Here is a 24,113-nt window from a genome sequence, read left to right on the forward strand (position 1 = left end):
GGCAAATATTTAATATAGGCATTCAGGTCATACATTCATTTCAATCTTCTTTCTTAGGGGATCATAAAGTAAATTTCCTCTAAGTGATGAAAGAAAAGGAGGGAGATACTTCTAGACATCTAAGACCTTCTTAGGGAATCACTGATTCACCAAATCATAACCTAATCCTTCCTGGAGCTCCTGGAGTTCAATTCACAGAAATGATAGGACTGGACAACATTACTGGGCCCTTGTGCATGGAATGTGTGGATATTCTAGAGCCCAGACACTGAACTCAGAAGCCAGTGTTCCATTTTTGGCTCTTTACTGATGAGTAGCCGCCTTTAATTTAATCCACCTTTTCAACCGGAGGCACTGTTAAACAGTTCCTTAGGTCTGATGGTTCTTGGGGATCTAAGCTCATTTAAAATAGGCAGAAATCACTAACCATATTATTAAAATCTAATGAAGCAATCAGATTGCATCTTGTTATAAAAACCACTTTACCAATTCCCTCTAGTTCACAAAACACCTCTGAAATTAATATATCTAGAGTAATATAGCTAAAAAAGAGGAGGAATTGTGTCTTCTGAAAGATGTACAAATAAATGACATACATGTCTTCTTTGTAGCACAGTGGTCTCCAGTACCTATGAGCATCTTTCTTGGCTACAGGCTTTGAATTTTCTTTCACCTTCTCTTTTGTACTCTACAATCTCCAATGAAAACTAACACTTGGTAATGAATCTGTCAAAAATTAGTACGTTGTAATGTGTAGAACCTTAGATGTTCATACCAGCTGTGCTTGTTAATCTATTACACACACTTACGACATCATATACCTCTGCTACATAGGATTTCCCACTTACATTTATTCTACATTTATTCATGAAATTATTTGATTCCTGTCAGATTCACACATTAGATTATAACCTTTTCTAGAATGTGGCTTTTGTTTATGATTATAACTTGAAGCCTAGCACAATACCTGGCATATTAACATTCATCAAATGAAAAGAACACAGACCATCCCTCAAAGAAGTCAACACTTATTCTGTACTTGTCTCAGGAGAGCCTTTGAGTGGGTCACACCTTTATCTACCCTGGAGAACACATTTCATTGTTGCCACGGCTTCTGCAGCAGAGCCCTGAACCCCAGGTGAGTATAGTCCCTGGTACTCCTGTATTTCCACTTCTTTCTAGAAATAACAGAAGTAATAACTGAAGTTTCATAATTCAATAATATCCATTTTATGAAAAAATGAAAAGTAGGATCCCTAACTACTTAAGTCAGATTCAATAAAATGGAATCCTCTGTGATTCACTAAATAATCTTAGCTAAAAACAACTTTAGAAATAACTAGTCTATTTTTTTCTTAAGATAATCTGCCATGAAAAAGACAGGAGACATAAGCATAAAAATAGCAAAATTATTGACGCATTAGTTAACATAGATGTTGTATATTCTGGCACTTCCTGTCAAAATCTTCATTAGGGGTTAATTCTGTCAAACAAAATCTTGGCCTACATTTCTATTTGGTGGTAGCTGTCAGCTTGTATTTTGCACGTTTCAATATTATTTAAAAGTACTTTTCCATATTTAATATATGATGGCTTACTGTACCTTTCCACTGGCATTTATCACCTCTCAAGAGTGATCAGTCTCCACAAAAGTGAAGTTCACTGTCACAGAAGGGCCTAGCCCTCATTTATTTCCCTATATGGTATTTGGTACAGAGGCAGAGTGTACCATAGCAGGTGTGCCTTCAATTTAGTGGTCATACATTTAGCAATAGAAATATGAGTTATTAAAATAGGCTTGTCATCTTTAAAAAACATTAGGTGACCTTAAAGTGTGGATAATTGTACAAAATTCAGTGCTTTTTTTTTTTTTTTGCTCCAGTTCCAAAATGTTTCTAAAGATGCTGCCATTGCCCAAACCAGAATTCCCATTGTTGGCAGGATAACGCTGAGCTGAGAAAAATATAGGCTTACAATATGCCCATCAACCAGCTTAATCCCTGCCTAATTTCCCCATATCCTTAATAGGCTAAGTCCATGCAGCTTGCAGGGCTTGAAGGCATTTGAAGAATATTTAAAGGAACATTTTTTTTTCCATTTGACTTAGCTTTAGCGTGATAAGACCATCTTAAACAGTCTCTGATCGTTAGTGTTTGAGGGGAAGGTGCACTGCAGTGTAGGAGAAACAAGTTGCCTAAAGCACTTAATTTGATATTCCTCTCCCCTAGCTCTGCCACCTACTAGCTATGTGACTTAGGGAAGGATAACCAAATACTTCCTCATCTGTAAGGATATGAGGATAGCTAAGTGCTACCAAGAAAAAAATTGTGTGTGTGTGTGTGTATAAATAAATATATATGTATATGTACATGTGTGTATTTTATTTATTGATAATGTTGAGCACTAATCCTGTGAAAAACATTGTCTTAAGTGCTTTACATGTATTAACTCATTTATTCCTTAGAACAAACCTGTGAGAAAAAAGGAAAGGAAACAGTGGTTAAGTAAGTGCCCAGGTTTACTTACCTTAAAATGGTAGAGGCAGAACTGGAATCTAGCTATTGTACTGCCTCTGAGAGGAGTAACTAACATTGCAAGAAGCATCTCAGTTGGGAGGCCGAGGTGGGAGGATCACTTGAGGTCAGGAGTTCGAGACTAGCCTGACCAACATGATGAAACTCCGTCTCTGCTAAAAATACAAAAATTAGCTGGGCGTAGTGGCAGGTGCCTGTAATCCCAGCTACTCGGGAGGCTGAGGCAGGAGAGTCTCTTGAACCCGGGAGGTGGAGGTTGCAGTGAGCCGAGATCATGCCAATGCACTCTAGCCTGGGCAATAAGAGCCAAAAGTGAAACTCCGTCCTCAAAAAAAAAAAAAAAAAAAAAAAAAATCATCTCAGACACAGTTTGGCACACGGCAGGTATTTGATATAAGTGGTAAGTTCTCTCCATTTGTCTGTTTCTTGTGTTTTCTTTTCATATAAATCAATAATCAGATTCTCCTAGAGTAGCCTGAAGACCTAATTCCATTGGTATACCAGATCTTAGCAGGGAGTCATTAGATACAAAATCTTATAAAGGTGTGTATAAATGTGAAGTCTACTTAATGTAACACACATATAAACACACTCATGCACTCATGTGTGCACTCAGACACACATAGGAAATTCAAATAAGCCTTCAAAGAAAGTCTCCTGGAATATCTGCTGCCAATGAGTTTATCATCAGTATTGACGGAACATGAACTCAGGTCACAAAACTATGGGTTTTGGTCACAAAACTGGGTTTAGAGGCAGTGAGAGGAGGAGGTGAGACAAGAATAAAACTTATTGCCTGCCCTCAAGGGCCCAGAATCTACCGGGGGACTCTAATAACTCACTGTCATATATTTTGTACTGTGCTAGAGGTATGTAAAAAAAAAAAAATTCCTATGGGAATATAGGACAAGAAACAATTCTTCCTGAGGATTCACAAAATAGAAGTGCTTTCTTTTGGATATGTTGAATTTCTCCAGGCAAAGATGAGGGTGAGAAGAGCATTCCAGGTTGAGAGAATGAAGAAGCAGAAATATGGAGGCATGAAAAGCATGCTATGAGCAGGCAAGTGGCTGAAACATCTGGTGCCTAAAGAAGGCTAGGGAGAGAACATTTTAAGTTCCAATTGTGAATGGCTGCTTATATAACTACTAGAGAGTTTGGACTTTTTCCTATGCAGTAAAAAAGACAGGTCAGGCACAAGTCACCAAAGATATATAGACTAGTGGAGATTATTTCAGTAACCCAGGTGAGAAAGGGAAATTATCTATACTAAAGTAGCGGGAAAGGGGATGAACAGAAAGAGATGGATTCAAAAGATACTCTGTAGGTAGAACCTACTAGGCTTAGTAACTGAAGAGATGTAGGGAGAAGGAAAAGGATGAATTCCAGGATGTGTCTAATGGTAGCAATCTGTATATTTAATAATCCTAACATTTACTGTTGCCCAACCAGGAAGGAAGACAAGGGAGGAAGGAGGGAAGGAAGGAAGGGGCGGGAATAGAACTGTTTCAATCCTCAGGTGTCATGAAATTTAAGTAGATTAGCTGATATCTTGGGTTACAGAGAAGTCATCCAAAGAAACTTGTTGGCACTCTTTTATCACTTCCCAAAATGTATGCATAACATTCTTTACAGTTCCTTCCTCTCCACCCCCCTCCTTTCTTGTTTCCCTCCCCACTTCTCTGGTCTGTGCTAGCCCAAACACATCAGCAGAGCTTAGCCCCACAAGGCAGGAAGAATCCATATAATCTGCTTTCCCATTTCACTCATAGTAACATCAGTGTCGCAACCACAGTTTACTTTACACTCCTCAAAATCCCACAATAAAAACTCAGGTTCTTCCAAAACTGCTTTGTGGGACTTATTTAACCTAAAAGCTCAGTGATGTTTACCTGTGAGCCTGCAGCAGCGCAGTGGAATAACTTAATAAATGGAAGTGGCAGAGACACCTTTATGTTTCCTATGCAAATACTGCTTACAAAAGCCATTAATGGGAATTATGGAAGGGGAAAGCCAACTAAATACATGGGCCAGAATAAGCAGGATGATTCAACTGGTCTTCAGGGGCCTTCTCCTCTGCTGGTAATTTTATTAGAACCATTACCAGTGAAGAAATTTTCAGCTTTTCGAATTGAACTGTAAATTGTTTCTGCTTTCCATAGTATCTTAAAGGGATTTCAGGGGGAATTTTTGTTTGGTTTGTGGAGTGATCAGACTAGGGGAAGTTTTTTGGAAATTTCTGGGTTACTGTTGGGAATTTTTCCAGAAATGGATTCTTCTTCTTTGGAAGTCTTTTGGTCATTAGTTTAAATACTATATTGGAAAATTTCTACATAAAGATTTGTAATGTGCCCCCAATTTTCTGTTTATAGGATTTATAAGAATATTATTGTAATGGTAACATCTTGTAATGGTGACAATATTTCTATTAATTTTATGAAACCCTATACCACTGCTTTAATCTCTGCAGTAAGAAGTCATTATTTTTTAAAGCGCCAAACACAGAATGTGTTTATTACAATTCTTCATGACCCAAATTATTTTTGGCAGAGGTGCTATAAGTTTTTCCCTCTTTATTTATAAAAATACATTATCTGTAATTCTGGGAAATTGACCACAAAATGACGTGGAAAGCACCTTAAAATCTTTACGTATGAGACCACGTAAAGCCTCATAATAACTACTGTGATATAACATTGTTGTGTTCAACCATTACATCATTTGTTTTACTCAAAAGTGTGTGCCTCTCTACGTATACCAATTTTAACAACGTTGTATTTTACTGTTCACATCCTGCTTAGAAAACTTCAGGTTACATTAATAATGCTGACCATTCACAGTGGCAACATAAAAATTCCTTTATCATTCTTCTTTTTCTTCTCTTGAAGCCAACGTTCGAAAACTAACAATGGAAAATATATTTGAAAGATGATGGATATGAATAGGAGAACTAGTTTTAGTTTTCTGGAATAATATCTTATGCACAAAGCTTTTATCTTATTGTTAACCTTTAACACAAATAGATTTCCTTCTGCCATTTTCCCCGCTTTGTCCTAAGTTTCATGGGAGAGTCTTTGCTTGATTTGCAACTTTGGTGTCTTCGTAGGGCCACATTGTCCAAGCTGCACTAAATTGTAAGTCCCTTCTCCCTGACTTCCACACCCTGCTTTACAAAAACACACCATTTTGCAGATCAAAGAGAGACGATTTATGCTTTCATCTAGCTGACGGACGATTAAATTAAAACAGATCAGCAGTGCAGTGCATGGGCAGGTGGCTCCCACCACCACTCTCGGCCTCAGAGCGATTAAATTGTGGCGGAGATGGAGGGCCTTCCGCTCCCATTCCCGCACTTACAGATCAAACGGTGACAAATGAGATGTTACTGCTCTTGTAAAGCAAGGCTACAATCTGTCAAAATCCAACATAATTTGTGACCCTCTGTGACATCCTCTTTCTCTTTTTTTTTTGACATTTGAATACAGTGATTGTACTAGAGTCAAGTCCATTTAAGTGAATATAGTCAATTCTATCTAAAGGAATACAGCCTGTTAGCTCCAACATGGTAGCTGAATATATATCTGGTGAGTACTCCAGCGACCCTTTGTGTTAAGTGCATACCATTAACAATGAATTCTGATTTTTTCCAAGTTATATAATTTGATATCTTGACAGCCCAGACACTTAAAGCACTACTATTTGTTTTAAATGGCTTTATTTTATTGTTTAAATGTCAGTATCAAAATAAAGTAATGCATACAGTCTTGTCAGTTCTAGTGCAGGGGGAAGTGTTCCTGTTGAGAAGAGTCTTGAAAGAGTTGGTTCTAAAAATGGACTCAAAAGTCAATTGCAATGTCTCTTGGCTAAATCCTTAAATGACTCATGAAACATATTTATACCGCATTTTCTGTTTAGCTGGTGCATTTAATAAGGAACCAAAGCATAAACAGCGAAGGGAGCACAGCATCTTAACTTACTGAAGTTGACATTATTGCCAGGCTTTAAAAAATACTGACTATGGGAAATAATGGAGAAATGCACAATAGAACCCAAGGCCCAGATAAATGAGCAGACCTCTATGTGTGTTGTAATTATATAATCTGCTAGGTTATTCTAGGCGGCTTGGTCATAAGGAGTAAAATGAAAAATTCAAGAGACTGATTGAAGATAGTTTCTAGTATTTTTAACTACTAGAATGGCAGGGAGAGTTGATTCTCTTATGCCTCCACTCTATTCAGACCTGTCTGGGGGTGATGAGCCTGTCACATTTCAGAACAGGCATTGACTTCCTACTTCAAAGTGACTGAGGAGCTTTTTCAAAAGACTTTTGTTGACCACAAACCTTTAGGCAGGTTAACACCAACCTTCAGGGAAATCACTCTGAAATAACTTTGCTTACAAAGAACAAAAATATATCTAGACTCTTTGAGCACTTCTTTCCTAAAGAAATCGGGTTATACTTTCAAGTTCTTTGGCATATTTTTCTACTACGGAGCTCATTCTGTAGGTTAGTCTACTCACCCTGGTCTATTTCCTTAACGTAGGGCTTGTTTACACATGTTTTAAGGTAGCTTTCCTGCATGACGTACAATCTCTGTTAATAACTTTGCATCAGAAGCCCAGCTAGCTACAGGGAAGACCCCAGTTCTTGGCATTTCAGAGTGGTCAGCTGGTACTGAAAAGTCAACTCTGTGTTTGGTATATGGCATTGTGAGAAACATTAATCTCCCCCTACCATCATAGACCTTTTTATCCTCTCCAGGCTTTAATGCTGTCCTCACTCTAGTGTTACCCATATGTGGAAAGAAGAAATACTGTCCATAAGACCAGCAGACCTTGCCTATTTCTCTCTCTTTTTTTTTTTTTTTTCCTGAGATGGAGTCTCACTCTGTCGCCCAGGCTCAAGAGATTCTCCTGACTCAGCCTCCTGAGTAGGAGGGATTACAGGCACCCACACCACACCCAGCTAATTTTGTATTTTTAGTAGAGACAGGGTTTCTCCATATGGGTCAGGCTGGTCTCAGACTCCCGACCTCAGGAGATCTGCCCGCCTCGGCCTCCCAAAGTGCTGGGATTACAGGCGTGAGCACCAGGCCCAGCCAACCTTGCCTATTTCTAGGCAAGGTCTCCACCTCAGCCTGATCACATTGTGGGTGTCAGTCATTTGCTTTCTATAGCCAGGATAAAGCATCTCACCCCATATAAGAAGGCTCCAGGTCCTAAGCCCAATGTGTTGGGATTATACTAGGGTCGCTGTGGTGGATGATCACAGAAGAGGGTCCACTGGATCCTGGCTGTCACTACTGTGTGCCCACAGAGACTTGGAAAGTAACTACCTCAAAGCTACCCAAACCCGTGGGTGCAGGTGGCTTTTGTTAACAGTGAAAGCCTACCAGGAGATTGGTAGTAAATTCAAGATACATGCTCTACTCTGAACCATTTGGGGGAATGGGCGCAGTGACATAGAAAAACGCAGCTTTAGCTAATGTCCTCTTCACAATTATCTTTCTCAAATCAAAAAGTGCCAGACTAAAAAACAAGCGTGTCTGATTAAAAAAATTTTAGAAAGGTTGATTTGTTTCCCTCTTTCTCTCATCGATTTCTCTACATTTTGTTTATAAATGCAAATGTGTTAGGATTGTGTGTTGATCTGTACCTACTGTGATGACAGAGGGCAGTCATTCAGGCTTGCCAACTGGCTGCATTTGTGAACAGATTACATCCTTTACTTTTTGTGAGTTCTGTCTGGCTCCTGTTTCTGTAAAGGCCTTTGCTGATTTTATAGGCCGCCACAAACCACTGAGCTGATCTCACTTTCCTCCCTCTTCTCTCTATTATCTCTAAAAGCACTTCCTGCTTTTGATGTAGATTCTCCATTAGACACAGGAGATACAGGGCAGGTTTTCACCTTTGCCTGTAAGCACAACGGGAGGAAAGAGTAGGGTGGCAGAAATATTATTAACTTTAAAATCTTCCTTCTACCTCCAAGATGAGAATAAATGTCCCCCAAAGATTCCCTGAGATATGCATAGACAGCTAATCCCCCATAGGAATCTCCTGTCACCTCAGGGTTTTTTCTTCTTTTAATGGAATAGAAGACTCAGTGTATGTAGAGATCTTTTCAAATGAAACTACTGTACTGCATCTGTCAGATGACATTTTCATAATATAAAACTCATCCAATCTGTTTCTTTTCAACATTTTCAATGTTTGTTATATGATGTCAATTATAGCTTAACTTCCTTTACCCTAACGATTTCCCAGAGTTTTATTAGATTGGCCAGCTAAAACTCACATATTCCCATTTAACTTCTCAAGCAACAGAACAGAAGGCATGAGTGGCTGATGTTAACCAAACCAAACGCCACTTGAGAATGCCATTAAAAGAATCGTGGCTGAAGGTTATAAATAGGTGACACTATTTATAAAGCATAAACAAAATGTTTCTTGATGTGTAACATAAAGCCCAAGCAGTCCTATTGTTAAAAACCTGCTCCTGTGCCTAATGTCTACATAAATAGCAGCAGCAACGCAGTATCATGAGCTGCTTTGTTTGGCCTCAAGCAAATCATAGGCATATTAGATGTAACATTTCCTACTAATTGCTGCTTGGCCTTTAGAAAAAAAAAAAAAAGTTGAGGATGGGGACTTACGATGTGAGGAAATGTAGTATCATACAGCAGAGTTCAAAGGAATCTAAATTATTTGAACATTCTGCAATGATCATATATTGTGGTACTTAAGTCCAACAATAGCATGTTGATAACAGAAATGCTAATCTCTTGGCCTTAACCCCACCCAGCACTTGTTGCTCCTGAAAGATTAATGTTATCTCTCTATTTAAGTAACCCACATATATGTCCAAAATTAGACTGTAAAGCAAGAGCCTGCTTGACTAGAATAAAATGTTTTTTAACATCAATTTATAAATACTCTGAAAATGCAAGTCACTTTCCCTCAGCTGAATGGCTAATGCTTTACAAGATTTTGTGATACCCAAACCATTGGATGTCAGAAAGATTTAAGTTCAAATCAACATGCATTTATTCTATGGTACAGCAATATGGAAGGTTGATGGCATGAATATTTTACGGTAATGCTTCAATATTAAAATCCCCATATTGAGATTCTAGAGTAACATACAAATTATATTTAACCATCAAAAAATTCATTGAAGTACTTATTAGAGTATCAGTAATAATAGTCATTAAAATTTTATGATCACTTAAAAGAACACTGAATAAAGACAGTTTAGCAAATGCCCTATTTACATATTTTAACAAGACTCACATAGTAATATCAAAATCACACATTGAATTTGAGAGTAAAATTACACTTGCCCTCAAAAGAACAGATATATTATGGATATACCCTGATAGATTTGCGTGTTTTCCCAATAGTGGGGCGAGTTGCACTGATTCATTCACACTGCCTTTTTGGACCAGCTGCAACATTATAAACATTATACAAGATCTGACTAAGAATCAGGGGTTCAATCTATGAATAAAGAACAGAATTAACTAGGTAGGTTATACAGGAATTGAATCTGCCACCTTAGCCTCATTTGGTACCATGTCCTATTTTGTTCAGCTACAATCTTACATATTCATCTACCTAATTTACATATATATAAATAAGTAATATGTATATAACGATTCAGACATCCGTATGTATACATTATGTGGCTTACTTTCATTTTCAATATTTGACAGTATTTATGCAAGTGGTAGCCCTTAACAATTTTGATATTTAGCATCTTAGTTGATTTTCACTGCATCTTAGAATGCTAAAGAAAATAATTTTCGAAATTTTCCTAATCCAGGGGAGAGCATAAACCTCAAAAAAAATGGTGTGATTTGTTTTCTTTGCCTTCTATGTTTAAGGTTAGGAGTGATCACTGTAAATTCAATGAACTTGAGTGAACAGTAGGTCACTGAAATTCTCAAAGAGAGATATATGTAGGCACTCAGAGAAGATGGGTGGCCTGGGGTCAACGACCAAGCCTACTGAGAACAGCCCATGCCATTGACACAGGTCACTGTGGTTTCCTTGGCACGTGTGATTTACTGGCAAATACATCCACTAGAACCCTGTAGGCTTTGTCAGAATTTGAGTCTCATGAGTGGCAAATTAATTTGGCGAGGCATTCAGCTCCACCAGATCCCATGATGAATACAAAAGTCACACCAACATATGCATTCTTAGCTCTTTTCCTTGTTTAATGCATTTACAACTACATCTAATGTTATGAAATCAGAGAAGGGAAAGACTTCCTAATATTGCACAGTTCTGGTGGTTGGAATGTGTATGTGTGTCCATGCTTAAGCACATGTGTGCATGCTCACATGTGTGGAAGAGGGAACATTAATGATTCCTATAATCAGAAATTTATTTAAAAATATTAAATACAAAACAAAATGTCAAATGATGTTTCCAGAAGTCTATCTAAATAGGCAAAGAAAAGACATCATTGGAAATATTGGGGGCCACCTTCATTCTATTGTGGATCACCAATTCATCAAACAGCCCATTATCTTCATGGTTCCTGCTTCCTCTCTTCAAAGAAATGGGAAGTAAGATCTCTTACCTTCATTGGCTTTCAAATATGTAGGCTTGAGCAACAATTCATATGGCAGCCGTAAGAGCTTTCCAGGAAGGGCAGTATTTTTTTCTCTTCGAAACGGTATCTAATACTAAGCTACAAATATTGTTATGTTCTGAAATATATGCAACAGTGACAGGAGACAAAAGACCACAAGTAATATATGGGTCCTTTTCCTGAAGCCTGCTTACCTTCCCAACCATAATTTTTGAGGTTAACATTAAAATCCAATTGTATTTTTCACAACATAGAATGGTTTGTTTAGTTGAAGACTTAACAGATGCCTAAGGAATTGACTTGATAACTGAATAATCCACGGAGTACACCCAATGCATGTGGCCAGGAGAGTCAAGCTGAACTACAAATATCTAGTCAGTAAAATGCCTTAAAATGTTTTCAAACTAATATGCCTATTCAATGTGAATTAGAAAAGCTCTAAGTAGGCAACACCGAGTCAAGAAGATTGAAAGCACACACTTTCTCTGTCTATGATCTTTCTCGAAATTTCAACAAGTCAAACATAATCCTGTTATTAGGTACTAAAAATCTACATAAATACATGTAGAGAAAAATTTTTCCTATAACTTAGGAGCCTTCCACACTCTAATAGCAAAGAATATAGTGTAGTTTTTTTAAGTCCAGGCTCAGAAGCCAATTTCTGGGTTTCAATCCCTACTGTGTAACTTACCAGCTATGTGATTCTGATCAAATTATCTAATATCTCAGTTCCCCAATTTTCTCATCCACAAAATGGGTTAAAAATCGTATCTAATTCATAGCATTGTTTTGAGGATGAAATGATTTAATACGTGTAAAGCATTTAGAACATGTGGTCAGCCCTAATTGTAAACCATCAGTATTATCTAATATATTTTAGACCCGTCCACCACCACAGGACCAACTTGCTAGTTTAACTGTTACACTGCCCTCAGAGAATCCTATTTATCTACTTAATTTTTCATCCACTCATTTATTCCATTGTTCATTTTCTCAAAAACAGTTTGGAGAAGGATATACCACTTAAGGACTGGCAAACCTATAAAAAGAATTAATGAGGCCTAATTGTGACAATAAGCATGCACTTTGGTGAGCTGGAGTCATTGACTAATATAAGCCAATCCTCCCTTCACCTCTAATTCATTCACATTGCATTGTGGTAACAAAATGAATAAGGGGTTTAGTCATTTATATGTGACCCAGGACGATGCTTAAGACATATTTTATTTGACCTAGAGAAAAAATATGTAAGTATTTAGAAGAAGGTGCATTGCTGATAGGTGGCAATATACCCTTATCCACTGTCCTTTGAACTGTGTCTATAGTTACCATTTGGAACATCTCTGCTACTTAAATATTCTCTGTTTTAAGAAAATAGTTCAAGGCAAAGCAGTATTTTGAATGATATAGAAAAAGGAATTAATCTCTAGATATGTTTGGCTTACCAATCTGAAATCTGCTATCCCTTGAGATAATATCAATATTGACATCATGTTTGGACACCAGACGTCAAGATGCAGGGTGTTTTCCAATGAAGATTCCCATCCCATTTTGCTTTTACAACATCCAATGAATATGGATAAGATCCTAGAAGCAGCCCCAGATATGTATCCACAGTAGAAGCTTAATGTAAGTGGCAAATAAGTGATATTTATGTATAAAATTTTGCTTACTTATTCTAGGCTAACACATTCAAAGTACTAACCTTGACCTACCCTATCGAAATGGGCAAAAATTCAGTTTATTATCCAATTTAAACATTTTTTTCTTCATGTTTTATTGGAAAATTATGCCTGTCTAGTTCATGGCACTACTAAAAGAACCATCCCAGTGATCTGTGCTTAAAAGAATTTTGACAAAGATGTGCAATATCAAGAGCCACACAGAGTAATTATTTTTGTCAGTTCCATACATTGAATCAAAAGATGACTGTTGGTTGCAGCCCATTTGTTGCTAGGTAAGGAAAAAGGAGATGGAGAAAGATCTTAGCCCACATGTGTTGGGTATGTGATGGTAAAGCCACGCCCCTTAGAAGAAAGGATTCCTTCTGATACTCCTCATCTCTAGTCAACATCTCAAGTTGTCCATAGTCCCATTTCTACATTGTCATCTTGAGGAAACTGAATGCCCCATGACTGATCAGGCCATCTGGGGCAGGCCATCAACCACTGAAGACAAAATTTTACTCTCCAAAGTCATCTTGGCTTTGCTGTTCAGAACTGCAGACTGATGGCATATGGGGATTAGTCTATTGCAACAGATGGCTCCACTGATTTTCCTCATGAAGTGATTATTGCTCCTTCCAACAATATTCCCAAATCCAGTCAGGCACTGGGTCAGGTTAATTCTGCCTTAGGAATGTTTCTCAAGTCCATCTTTCCCTTTCTAGGCCCACTGCCACCAATCTGATGAGGGCCCTCATTGTTTGACACTTTGTGTATCTGCAGTGATGTGCTTACTAGACTGCGCCTATCCTCTCCTTTCTGCCATCACAGACGTGCACTTGTGACTTCCCTGCACAAAGGCCTGAGCTGGATGACTACTGTCTACAAACTACAGAGTGAATAGTTGGCATGGAATTCAAGCAACACCTTCCATCAGCTGGATCGTATCTACTTCTCTATCCTTAGCTCCAAATTCTGCCTTTTACAAAAACTTGACTCTAGCCAAAATGATACTTACTATATCAGGAAAACACCATGAAAGTTATCCTTCTGAGGCTTCATTTGACCACAATGACCTCAATGGAGAAAGTCCTTTGTCTTGACCTCTGCAGTTCTAAGAACTAACATTTATTTAAGAACAGTAGAAATTTCACTTCCAAAGGACTGCTTAAAACACTCTGGTCATCTTAAATCAGTTCAGGAACCGAACCCTGATGGCTGGTGCCTGCCATTTTAAATGGAAACTCATCTCTGCTTTCTTGAATTATTAGTTTTCTTTTAGGCATTCTCTGATCCTTCTCAACTGAACCTTCAGCCCTTTAGGAATACAGACTCCATACTTGAAATTCCCTCACATGTTAGAATGGCCTACACGTTGTAAAAATTTTGTTTACTATGATATTAAGAGAAAGGTATGTTTCTTCTTTTTATTAAGTAGCTCCAATGGAAAACAAATGAAAATTACACACACGCACACACACACACACACGCTTCCCATAAGATAGTGCATCTAATTATTTCATTGGTAGGGCATGCCTTTTATCAGTGTTCTGCTTCTTGTAAACTCAGTTTATAAGCTCAGAATTTTCCTGAAGAAGAAATTTAGATGCGTATCAACCACTCTGGTTACACATTTCTTTATCAAAATACTCTACATTAATTTGAGCATATGAAGCCTGAAAATAAATTACTAGTATATTTTGAAAGGAATCTCTCTATTTTTAGATGGGATTAGCATTTATTAGAGATATGGAAATAAAGGAAAAAGGGAGATACAACCATGTGAAGTAAGCTAAACAGTTCTTATAGAAGATATCATCATGTTTAAAATATTCATCCTTTTTTCCTCTGGAAGTACAAAATATTTACTTCTGTAGTTACAGTTCAATGCAACTTATGACTAAAACTGTCATCAGCTGAAATCATTAAACTTTTTTTTTTTTTTTTTTTTTTTGAGATGGAGTCTCGCTCTGTCACCCAGGCTGGAGTGCAGTGCCGCGATCTCGGCTCACTGCAAGCTCTGCCTCCTGGGTTCACGCCATTCTCCTGCCTCAGCCTCCCGAGTTGCTGGGACTACAGGGGCCCACCACCACGCCCGGCTAATTTTTGTATTTTTAGTAGAGACGGGGTTTCACCATGTTAGCCAGGATGGTCTCGATCTCCTGACCTAAACTCTAACTTTTAAGAACAAATATGATACATAGAACAGGGAAGATACTGCTTGCAGCATTATATAGATTAGCATCACCCATATAGGTTATACCATTTTTATCGCACTAAATTCCTGCATCCTGTAAATAACACACCCACATGTGGAGACCAGAACATACCAACATAAAATATTCCCTGCCCCTGTTCTTCTGGCAAAGAGAAAAGGTACCAGTGACAAAACTATACTATTGAGGGACCAAGGAAATTGAAGAGTTACTTTATCAACTTCTGAGGGTGTAAGGAAACATAAAACAAAGCTAGCCAAATGCTTACAAATACTGATAAGAATAACTAGACCATGTAGCACTGAAAACTTACCCAATGTCACGTTAAATACCGACCTTTCTAGGAGACATAACCTCTAAATGGTGTTAAAGTTAATAATAACTAAATATGAAAAATATACTGAGGATTTGCTAGAGTTGTATACAGGCTGGAATGGGCATGAAAGGAAAATGCCCATGTGTGTGCATACATAGCAAAATGCCCAGAAACACAAACAAATATAGAACAAAGACAGGTCTACACCGAGAGCAGATATTGATTGCACTCAAGGGCATATATTCAGGTGGTCCAAATGTACTACACCAGTGGGATCATTATTTATGACTCAAACTCTACTAGCCAAGTCCATACCTAAGACCAATAATGTTTGGAAAAGATCTGGAACACTCTCTTTTCCTCTAAGATACACTAAGCCAATATGGTTCCCACTAACACCTAGAAAAATACCCAGGGAGGCACAAAAAACCCATGAGCAATCAACAAAGGCCGGCCTTGGTCTCTTTCTCCCTAAGCCATAGGCAGGAGAGTGTTAGAGCTCTAAAAGGCCAAAGAGGAATAAATTCCTAGAACATGAATAGAAACATGTCTTTGCTCATTTCCAGCAATACTGTGAGTTTCTGTTACTGTGTTCAATTATCATTGCAAAGATGAAAAAGCATTCAGATACTTAACGGTGTCTAATAATAGTAGACAGTTTAGGACAGAAATAATTCCAGCCCTCTAAGAAACCTGTCAAAATATCCCAGAGGTAAGAAACAATGACCCTACAGTAGACTGTGGCCATGACCCTCAGGTCCAAGTGCTAACTCTAAAAAAGTGTCATGAGATATTTGATGACAGCTGATCAAGACATCATTTTTACGCCCTACCTGGAACAGATAATATCTTTTGAAATGAATATTCAGCATACCTGCCTTCAATACCACATGGAAAATCACACAGAGACAAAGGGAAAAAAACTGCCATTCTTTCTCAGTTTAGGCTATTCGTGAGCTAATACATAACCGAACCTTCATCTTTATGCCTCTGTTCTCAGGTTAATATCTCCATCCCTGAAAGTCTCACCCAAATTCAAGCTTCAAATTTTTAACTGCTTCTAAGTCATTTTGATTTGGACACCCCATTATTACCTAAAACCCAGCATACCTTAACTAAACTCATGATGAATATAAGTTCAGTACTTATCAGAGGGCTTATAAGAAACAGAGAAAGTACTCTAAATATTAATTAAGTAAATTACTATTTCTTCTCATCCGAGTTTCTACTCTCAATTTCCTCAATTCTGTTACTTGGCTTCTGGTACCCTACTTTGTTTCTCTGAAATAATTGAGTTGTCTTACGTTGTTCCCCTCATTGAACCTTCATTCAAAATGCTCACCAAATATCTCAATTCTTTCATAACAGACTCTGTCAGATTTAACTCTGAATGCTACCACCCTCAGACAGTGATCATCTTATACGTGGGCCAATGAAACTGTCTCCTCTTTTAGCCCAATTATGAACTGTCTCTTTCCCCTTTCATCTAATTCTACTATTTCTACAGGATTAGTATTCATGAAATAATAACAATAATAATAGCTTTGTTCCTTTCTCAGAAACACGTACTGGCTCAAAACTGTTGTTATATTAACTCTTAACTACCACATCTATTCTAATGTTTCTCTAAACTGGGTCCACCCTGCTTATCAATCCTTATCACCTACCAAATGTCCCAATAGTACCATTTGATCATTTTTGTCCTCACTTTACTTATGAAAACTCTTTACTGATGCTCATTTGGCAAAAAAAAAAAAAAAAATCTATATTAACACTTGTTCTCCATATGAAGTTGATCCTTATAATAACGTCTTGCTTTTCCTATTTTCACCTGGAAACATCATGCTTCCCTACACAAACACTAAATTCCAGGTGTCTAGAGATGATAACATAGGAAGCAATATATTGTAGTAATTAAGATTCAAACTCTGGAGTAGACTGCTCAACTCCAAATTCCATCTCCAGCACTTAAAAGTTATATGAGCTCAGGCAAGCCTTTTAACTTCTGTGTCTTCGTGTCCATCATTATCTGTAAGATGGGGATAATAATATCTATTTCATACAGTTGTTATAAGAATCAAATGAGCTTCTACATACATATACAGTGCTTAGAGGTGGACATGGCATTTTACTCACTCAATTATTTTCAGTAATTATGTATTTCTTTTAGCCACTATCCACTGTTTCTTTCTGTGTCTTTCTGTGTTCCTATATCTCTCCCTGTCTTACTGTCTCTATCTTTGTCTCCGTATGCCTTTCTCTCTCTGACTCCTCTCTCACTCCCTCTGTCTGTTTTTCTTCCCCTTCACAATCCAGTTGGAGGAAAGAGTTGTTCATTCTCATTACTTCTACTTCATGACATCCCATGCATTCCTCAAAGCACCTGATTTCTGCCCACACCATTCTAATGAAACCATTCTTGCCAAAATCAGCTTTGACCTCTTTGTTGGCAATCCCAGTGATATTTTCAGTTTTCCTTATTGACAATTCTGCAGTGCTTCACATTTCTTTTTACTACTTCTTCCTTAAATCTCCATTCTTGAGTTTCTGCAATACCACGTTCTCTTGGGTTTTCTTCCTACAACTCCAATCTTCATCTCCTTTAAATTCCTCTTCTCCTACCCTCGGCTTATTATCAGCAAACCCAGGATTCTGTCCTGAACTCACTTCCCATCTTGTGTTTTAAAGCATTTTTCCCATGACTTCTATCTTTCATTCCCATCCAAACACTGACAGCTTCCACAGTTTCATCTGCAGTCCAGATCTCTTCTAGCACACCATCCTGCCTACTGGATACTGTGGCTCCACTATCGCACTTCCAACTCAGTACTTCAAAAGCTATATGCATACCTTCTCCCCTTTCACTCCCCAAATCCCATTCATCTTGGGTGCCCTGGGGCAGTGAAATGCAGCACCATTGACAGTCAGAGATGCCTGTCCCTGTCCTAGTCCAGCAACCCTCCCGCCACATTTGGTGCATTCCTCTGTCTTACTACCTCCCCACTCTGTTCACTTCTTTCAAGGCAGGACTAATATTTTATTTCAGTCTGTCGTTGTTTCTACCCTAGATTATTGCAGGAGGTTCCTCGCTGGTATCTTTGTAACTGGCCTTGCCCGCTGCCTTATCCCTTGGCCACACTGCAGTCTGACTCATTGTTCTAAAAATGAGAGAGTCAGGGCATAGATAGCCAAATAGATTAGAATCAAAAGTAACAGCACTGTAAGTTATTCCATGGAGCTAAGGTTTATTTTTCTCTATCTTTGTGCCCAGGGCTCTGCCAGAACCTAAAAGACCTAAAGTATAAGATAAGCAGTATTTCTGGAATTTGTGACCACTAAAGTCTATTAAACGGCAAGGAAATCCTCCAAAGCAGATTTTCTAACCCATTTTCAAGGGACTTGTTTCCAGAACTGGAAGAAATGTTACATATGGTTATGATGGCATGATTTGATACGGAGAGCCTTGTTCTTTGTAGAAATCAATAATAAACATCTCGAATCCAGATAGGAATAACTAGTTTGTAGCTACAAATTTTAAGATTGTATCTGTAAACTTGGAAACCTCTTAATTCATAGGTGCCATTTTTTAAAATGTATAAATTTCCTGGTCACTCAATCCTTTCTCTTTTACCAGGTCCCTCTGCCTCTACCTCCCATGCACCCCATTCCTGAATTCCCCTCCTTTTCTTTTTGGTCACATTGTATCTGGTTTTTACTCTCTGAGATGCCAGCTCGGCTTCCTCAACACATCTCAGTCCTGTTTAGTTCTATTTCCACTCTGCTCCATCTAGTGGAATGCTGATTTTTACAGTATGGTGCCAGCTTTGCTTACTCTACTTTGCTGCGCAGGGTCAAGATATAAACATTGAAACAAAACCAAACTTTAACCTTTGATAGATAAGTTAAGTATCATTTCCCAAATACCTGGACAGAAACCAGAATTCCACGAGCATGCTTATGTGAAGAAAGTGGAAACATGTTCAATCCAATGGCAGCATTAGGCTCAAAAACGGCTACTCCATCAAGAAATAAAAGGCAAATGATTATTTTCTCTGTTATTTAAGCTTTGTTAGCATAGTCTTCTTAATGTAAATTATTTGATAATTGTGAAATATGCTCCAGGGACCATTAAGAAGTTTATTTTTTTTTTCTTGTACTGAATGACAAAAGTTAAACTATTAGGAGAATGAAAGTATTCCTATGCTTGTTTTTGTATTTACAGTATGCAAGGTATACTTGGAACCATGTGAAAATTAATTTCATCACAAAGGCATGGGTATGATTCTCTGGAAAACATATATTCCTCTATCTAGACAGTTATTTTACAATATTCATGCGTATGAACTACACAATCAACTTAGAGCTTGATGGTGTACTTTCTTCAGATGTATCCTGATGAATCTAAGTATGATATCTTCATGATTAGAATAATGGATTTTTAGGTCTAGAAAGTATCTTAGAGTCTAGAGCCACAAATATTAATTCATGTCCTTTCTATACTTCCAGTGTACACTCAATGAATACAAATAACTCTGTTGAACCTGATAGGATCCAATCTTTATTTATTTATTTGTTCATCCATTCATTCACTTTAGAGACAGGGTCCCACTCTATTACCCAGGCTGGAGTGCAATGGCACAATTACAGCTCACTGCAGACTTGCACTCCTGGGCTCAAGCAAACCTCCTTTCTCAGCCTCCTGACTAGCTGGGTTTAGAGGTGCGATCTACTGTGCTTGGCCAAGGATCAAATCCTAAAGACTCAAGCTAACAGCCAATTTGGAGTAGATTCCCTTATGATTTTACTTCTGGAGTTGAGAAATATGTGAATAAACATGGGGCCAATTATTATCATCAAATGAATAAAAAGTCTTATTTTTAAATTTGATTGGGGACAGAAAGATCATAGAAATCAACTAGGAAGGAAAGAAATAAAATTCATTCTGAAAATGACAACAAGTCTAGGCATACCCTACCCTGATGCCAACACCATTGGCTCATTCATTCATTCCCTGAAGTTGTAGCCATAGTGTTCCTACTAAAACATAAATCTAATATGATCCCAAACAAGAAAAAGCAAAACCTTCAAAACTTCTCATTAACCTCAGGCAAAGTCCAAAACCCTTAAATTGATTTCAAGATCCTTCATTATCAAGTCCCTGACTCCATCTTCATCACTAGTAACCTGCTTCTTCACATCATCCATGACCCTTTGGCCATTTGTAACAACTCTCATTTCCTCGAAGGAGCAAAACTCTCTCTCAGCCTCTGAGCTTGTGCAATGACTGACCTCTCCACTTGGAATATCTGCTCTCTTTCCCTCCACCCTTCACGAGTTAATGTCTGCTCATTCTTCAGGTCTCACTTTGCACATCACAAGACTAGGACAGATGCCCTTCCTTTGTGCTCCCATGCCACTTTGTCCTATACCCCACAGCCAGTTATATGGCAAACTCTTCAAACTCCTGTTCACCTAGAACTCTCCATCACCTAGATTACCACTTGGAACAAGAGATGGTCAATATATCTTTGCTAAATAAGTCAATGTATAAAGGAAGGAATGAAACCAAGACATGAGAGAAACATCAGCACATAAACCAATAAGCTGACAGTGGAAAATTTCAGGGTTGTTTTATTAAAGACAAAAGTGGGAAGGAAAGATTTTTTTTTCTTAAGCATAAAGTATAAAAGCCACATAATTTTGCCCATTGGGTTTATATGGATATAAGACACCACCCTGAGAAGCAAATTTAAGACATAGTTAGCAAGTCAAGTCAGAATGGAATACCTATGAAAAATAAGTAAAATTTCCCTATTGGACTTATTAACTCCAATATCTAAGTCACTCCCTGGGGAGAATTTGGCTCTTATATAGGAATGCTAACTTTTTTTCACCAGAGCAGACTCTAATCAAGTGTGTAGATGCTGCAATACACCAAATGGCAGAGGAGAATTAATGTTCCTCTTGTGGGTTCCTGAAGTGTCTTACCACCAGGAAGTAACTTGCGCACTGAATAGAACAGGGATCATTAGAAACAGTTATGCAAAACTTAAGAACAGAAATACCCTTGCTTTATGTGAAGGTTAGAATTTGATGATTTTGTTTTGGTGTCCTTGGGGTGGAGACTTAGGCAAAATACCAAATCATACCCACAGTCACAGAGCTCAAATTAAGAGGGGGGAAATGCCAGTTTACAATTCCTCTCATCTATTGTTGGCTTCAAACACTGTTAGAATAATGTTCCCAAGTTAATTCTTTGCTTGTAAAAATTTTAAAAGAAAAAGGGCCACATATACACAGTAATTTTTGAGGCCAACTCCCTCTCCACAAATTACCCACGAAAATGAAAACTTTTGACACCACCATTTTAAGTAAAACCCTGGTGAAGTCACTGAAAACATTGGGGAAGTAACTTGACTTTTAGGCACATGTTGCTTTCCTTATCACGAAGTCAGGATTAGATGACAAATAAATACTAGGGGAAGTGCTATGAAAAACTATTTGCTTCATGACAGCAACATTTATGAATTTTCGTTTGTTACTTTCATTCTCATTTTGTTTCATTCATTCTCTGGTCAGAGAGACTTCAGTGCTCTAAATCACAATCATAGACTATCAGCCTGAATTATTTTTCCCTTCAACACAGAATGATGACTGAATTACAGTTAGACTTTGGAAGTCATGTCTACCTGCTCATCAAACTCCATTTTGACAATTTTTAAAATTGTTAGTAAGACTAACACATGTGCATGCACATGTGCGTGTGAACACACACACACACACACACACACACACACAATTAAATCTTATAGGAAAAGGCGTCTACCTCTGCCAAATTTCAGCTGGGAACAAATTTTTATGGTTAGCTAATAAACCTGCTGAAAACAGGGGTTGATAATGGAAACCCTCCCGAGCCCTTAACTATAGTGTGCACAGCTATAATAAAAAGAATTAATGCAGTCAATTTGTACTACTGTTCTCTGAACAAAAAACCCTATTTCAACCACAGTCTTTTCAACAGCTGATTGGCAGCCCTGTCCATTTCCCCTCTGCAGTGTTGTCAGGAGTCTTCAACATGATAATGAGCCTGTCACCATATTCAAATAGCCCTGTGACAGCATGTTTTGTGAGTGTGACGTCCACTGCAAAGGGTCTGTCAAAAAGCACCTTTCAGAAAATGAAAAGAGAATGCTGTCCTGATGATAAACCTAATTTCTCCATAGATAAAAGAGTGAGATTTTTCATCAGATTTTGTCAGTGTTGTGTTGCATTTATCTCTTCAAATGTTCCTGTTTTCTTTTTTTAAATATACATAAATTTAGATTTGTCAGTGACGGGGAAAAATGATGATGAAACACATTTTCTGTTCTAGGAAGCTGAGTCCATCAGGTTAAACAGAGGGAAAAGAAAAAAAAAAAAAATCCTGATACTTTTCTATCACATTAAAAACGGGCAGAAAAGTAGAAGGCTAACTTGTTAACTCCTCACCTGATAAACTTTCAAGGATGGAACTCAGATTCTGTATGCATCACTCATAAGGCCAATTGCATCCCCAAAAATAGTCACAGGAAGTTGCTACGTTCAAACTGTGTATGTATACAGTCACTTTCTCAGTGCACATGAAAATCTGTAACCATGTTAGTAGCAAGGAGAAAGCTCATCCTTCAAGATTCATGGGCTACTTATTATCTTGGTAAATAGTGTTTGTTTTAGGAATACTTGGAAAATGCATTTACATCATATTTCAATGGATTAAAGATTTTTGTGTGTGACTAAGATGTTTAGAAGTACTATTGTCAAGGGAAAAATAATTATTCTTGTGTTATGAAGACTTATAAACAGCCCAGGCTCTCTAAACATCATTTAATTTTCTTCCTTTGGTCCCTCTCCAATGTAGACCAAATCTCAGTGTGTTCAGTGTTAATGCAAAAAACCTAATTTAGGTCTTTCCTCAAAAGGGATATATGTACGTATATAAGTATATATACGATATATAAAATACATACCACACATACCTATATTATATATGTATATGAAATATACATTCATACATAGGTACAAATACAGGTACACACACATACACACATAGTAGAAATAATACAACTGTCTATTCTTTGTGAATACTAGTGTCTCAGAATTTGATGAAATTCACATGCATGGGCCCAAGGAAAACTGAGAAGCTCTCTGGCTTTGACAGTGGAAGAGGTGGGACAAGGATTGGGATGAGGAAGCAGGGGGACAGGAAGCCAGCAAGAACTGTCACTCTCTCCCTCCTGAGGTGCCCTCCGTACCATAAGCAAATAAACACATACAGGAGGTCCCGAAGGCTTCTAAGAAAGAAAACATGGTAGACATGTAAATCTAATGCCTACTTTATCTAAAACTCTATGACAATAAAAGAATCTTATATTTTAGAAAACACATACTCTATCCAGTGTACTACTATGTCATTTAATTCACCAATATGCCTATATTAAACTATATATCAAAACACTTTTTTAAAGATATTACCAAACATACATAACCTTGTGTCTCCCTACCCTGACTTTAGCTAATGGCTCACTGACTTAAGTCTCATTTTCAAAGCAATATTTTCTTTCACTCATCTGTTCTATGCAACTTATGTATCTATAGGTGATGATAGCATTTGTGAAAACTTTTTGCTATTCATAAGCAAGAAAACAACCGTAATTTTCATTCTTCCAATTTCAAGTAAAATAAACACAATCCTAGTTATATCTCATTTGAGTTGAAGTCTGACTAAGCCAAAAGGACTTATTAATT

The 24,113-nt window shown here is 37.7% G+C and overlaps 1 protein-coding gene across 56 annotated transcripts in view, besides 1 other annotated feature; it reads right to left on the reverse strand.

Moving 5' to 3' along the window:
- The window catches only part of ESRRG (estrogen related receptor gamma), a 634,457-nt gene that overhangs the window by 105,104 nt on the left and 505,240 nt on the right, over positions 1-24,113 (reverse strand). The gene's annotated exons all lie outside the window — the stretch shown is intronic.
- Positions 10,410-10,579: an enhancer, noted in NCBI's record as "experimental_4286 CRE fragment used in MPRA reporter constructs". NCBI's record gives its function as "activates a minimal promoter by MPRAs in K562 erythroleukemia cells, with activity observed for both the introgressed and non-introgressed 1:216792186 variant alleles {active_cell/tissue: K562}" and the evidence as "EXISTENCE:reporter gene assay evidence [ECO:0000049][PMID:34662402]".

The sequence above is a fragment of the Homo sapiens genome, chromosome 1 (assembly GCF_000001405.40).
Source record: "Homo sapiens chromosome 1, GRCh38.p14 Primary Assembly".
Taxonomy (NCBI): domain Eukaryota; kingdom Metazoa; phylum Chordata; class Mammalia; order Primates; family Hominidae; genus Homo; species Homo sapiens.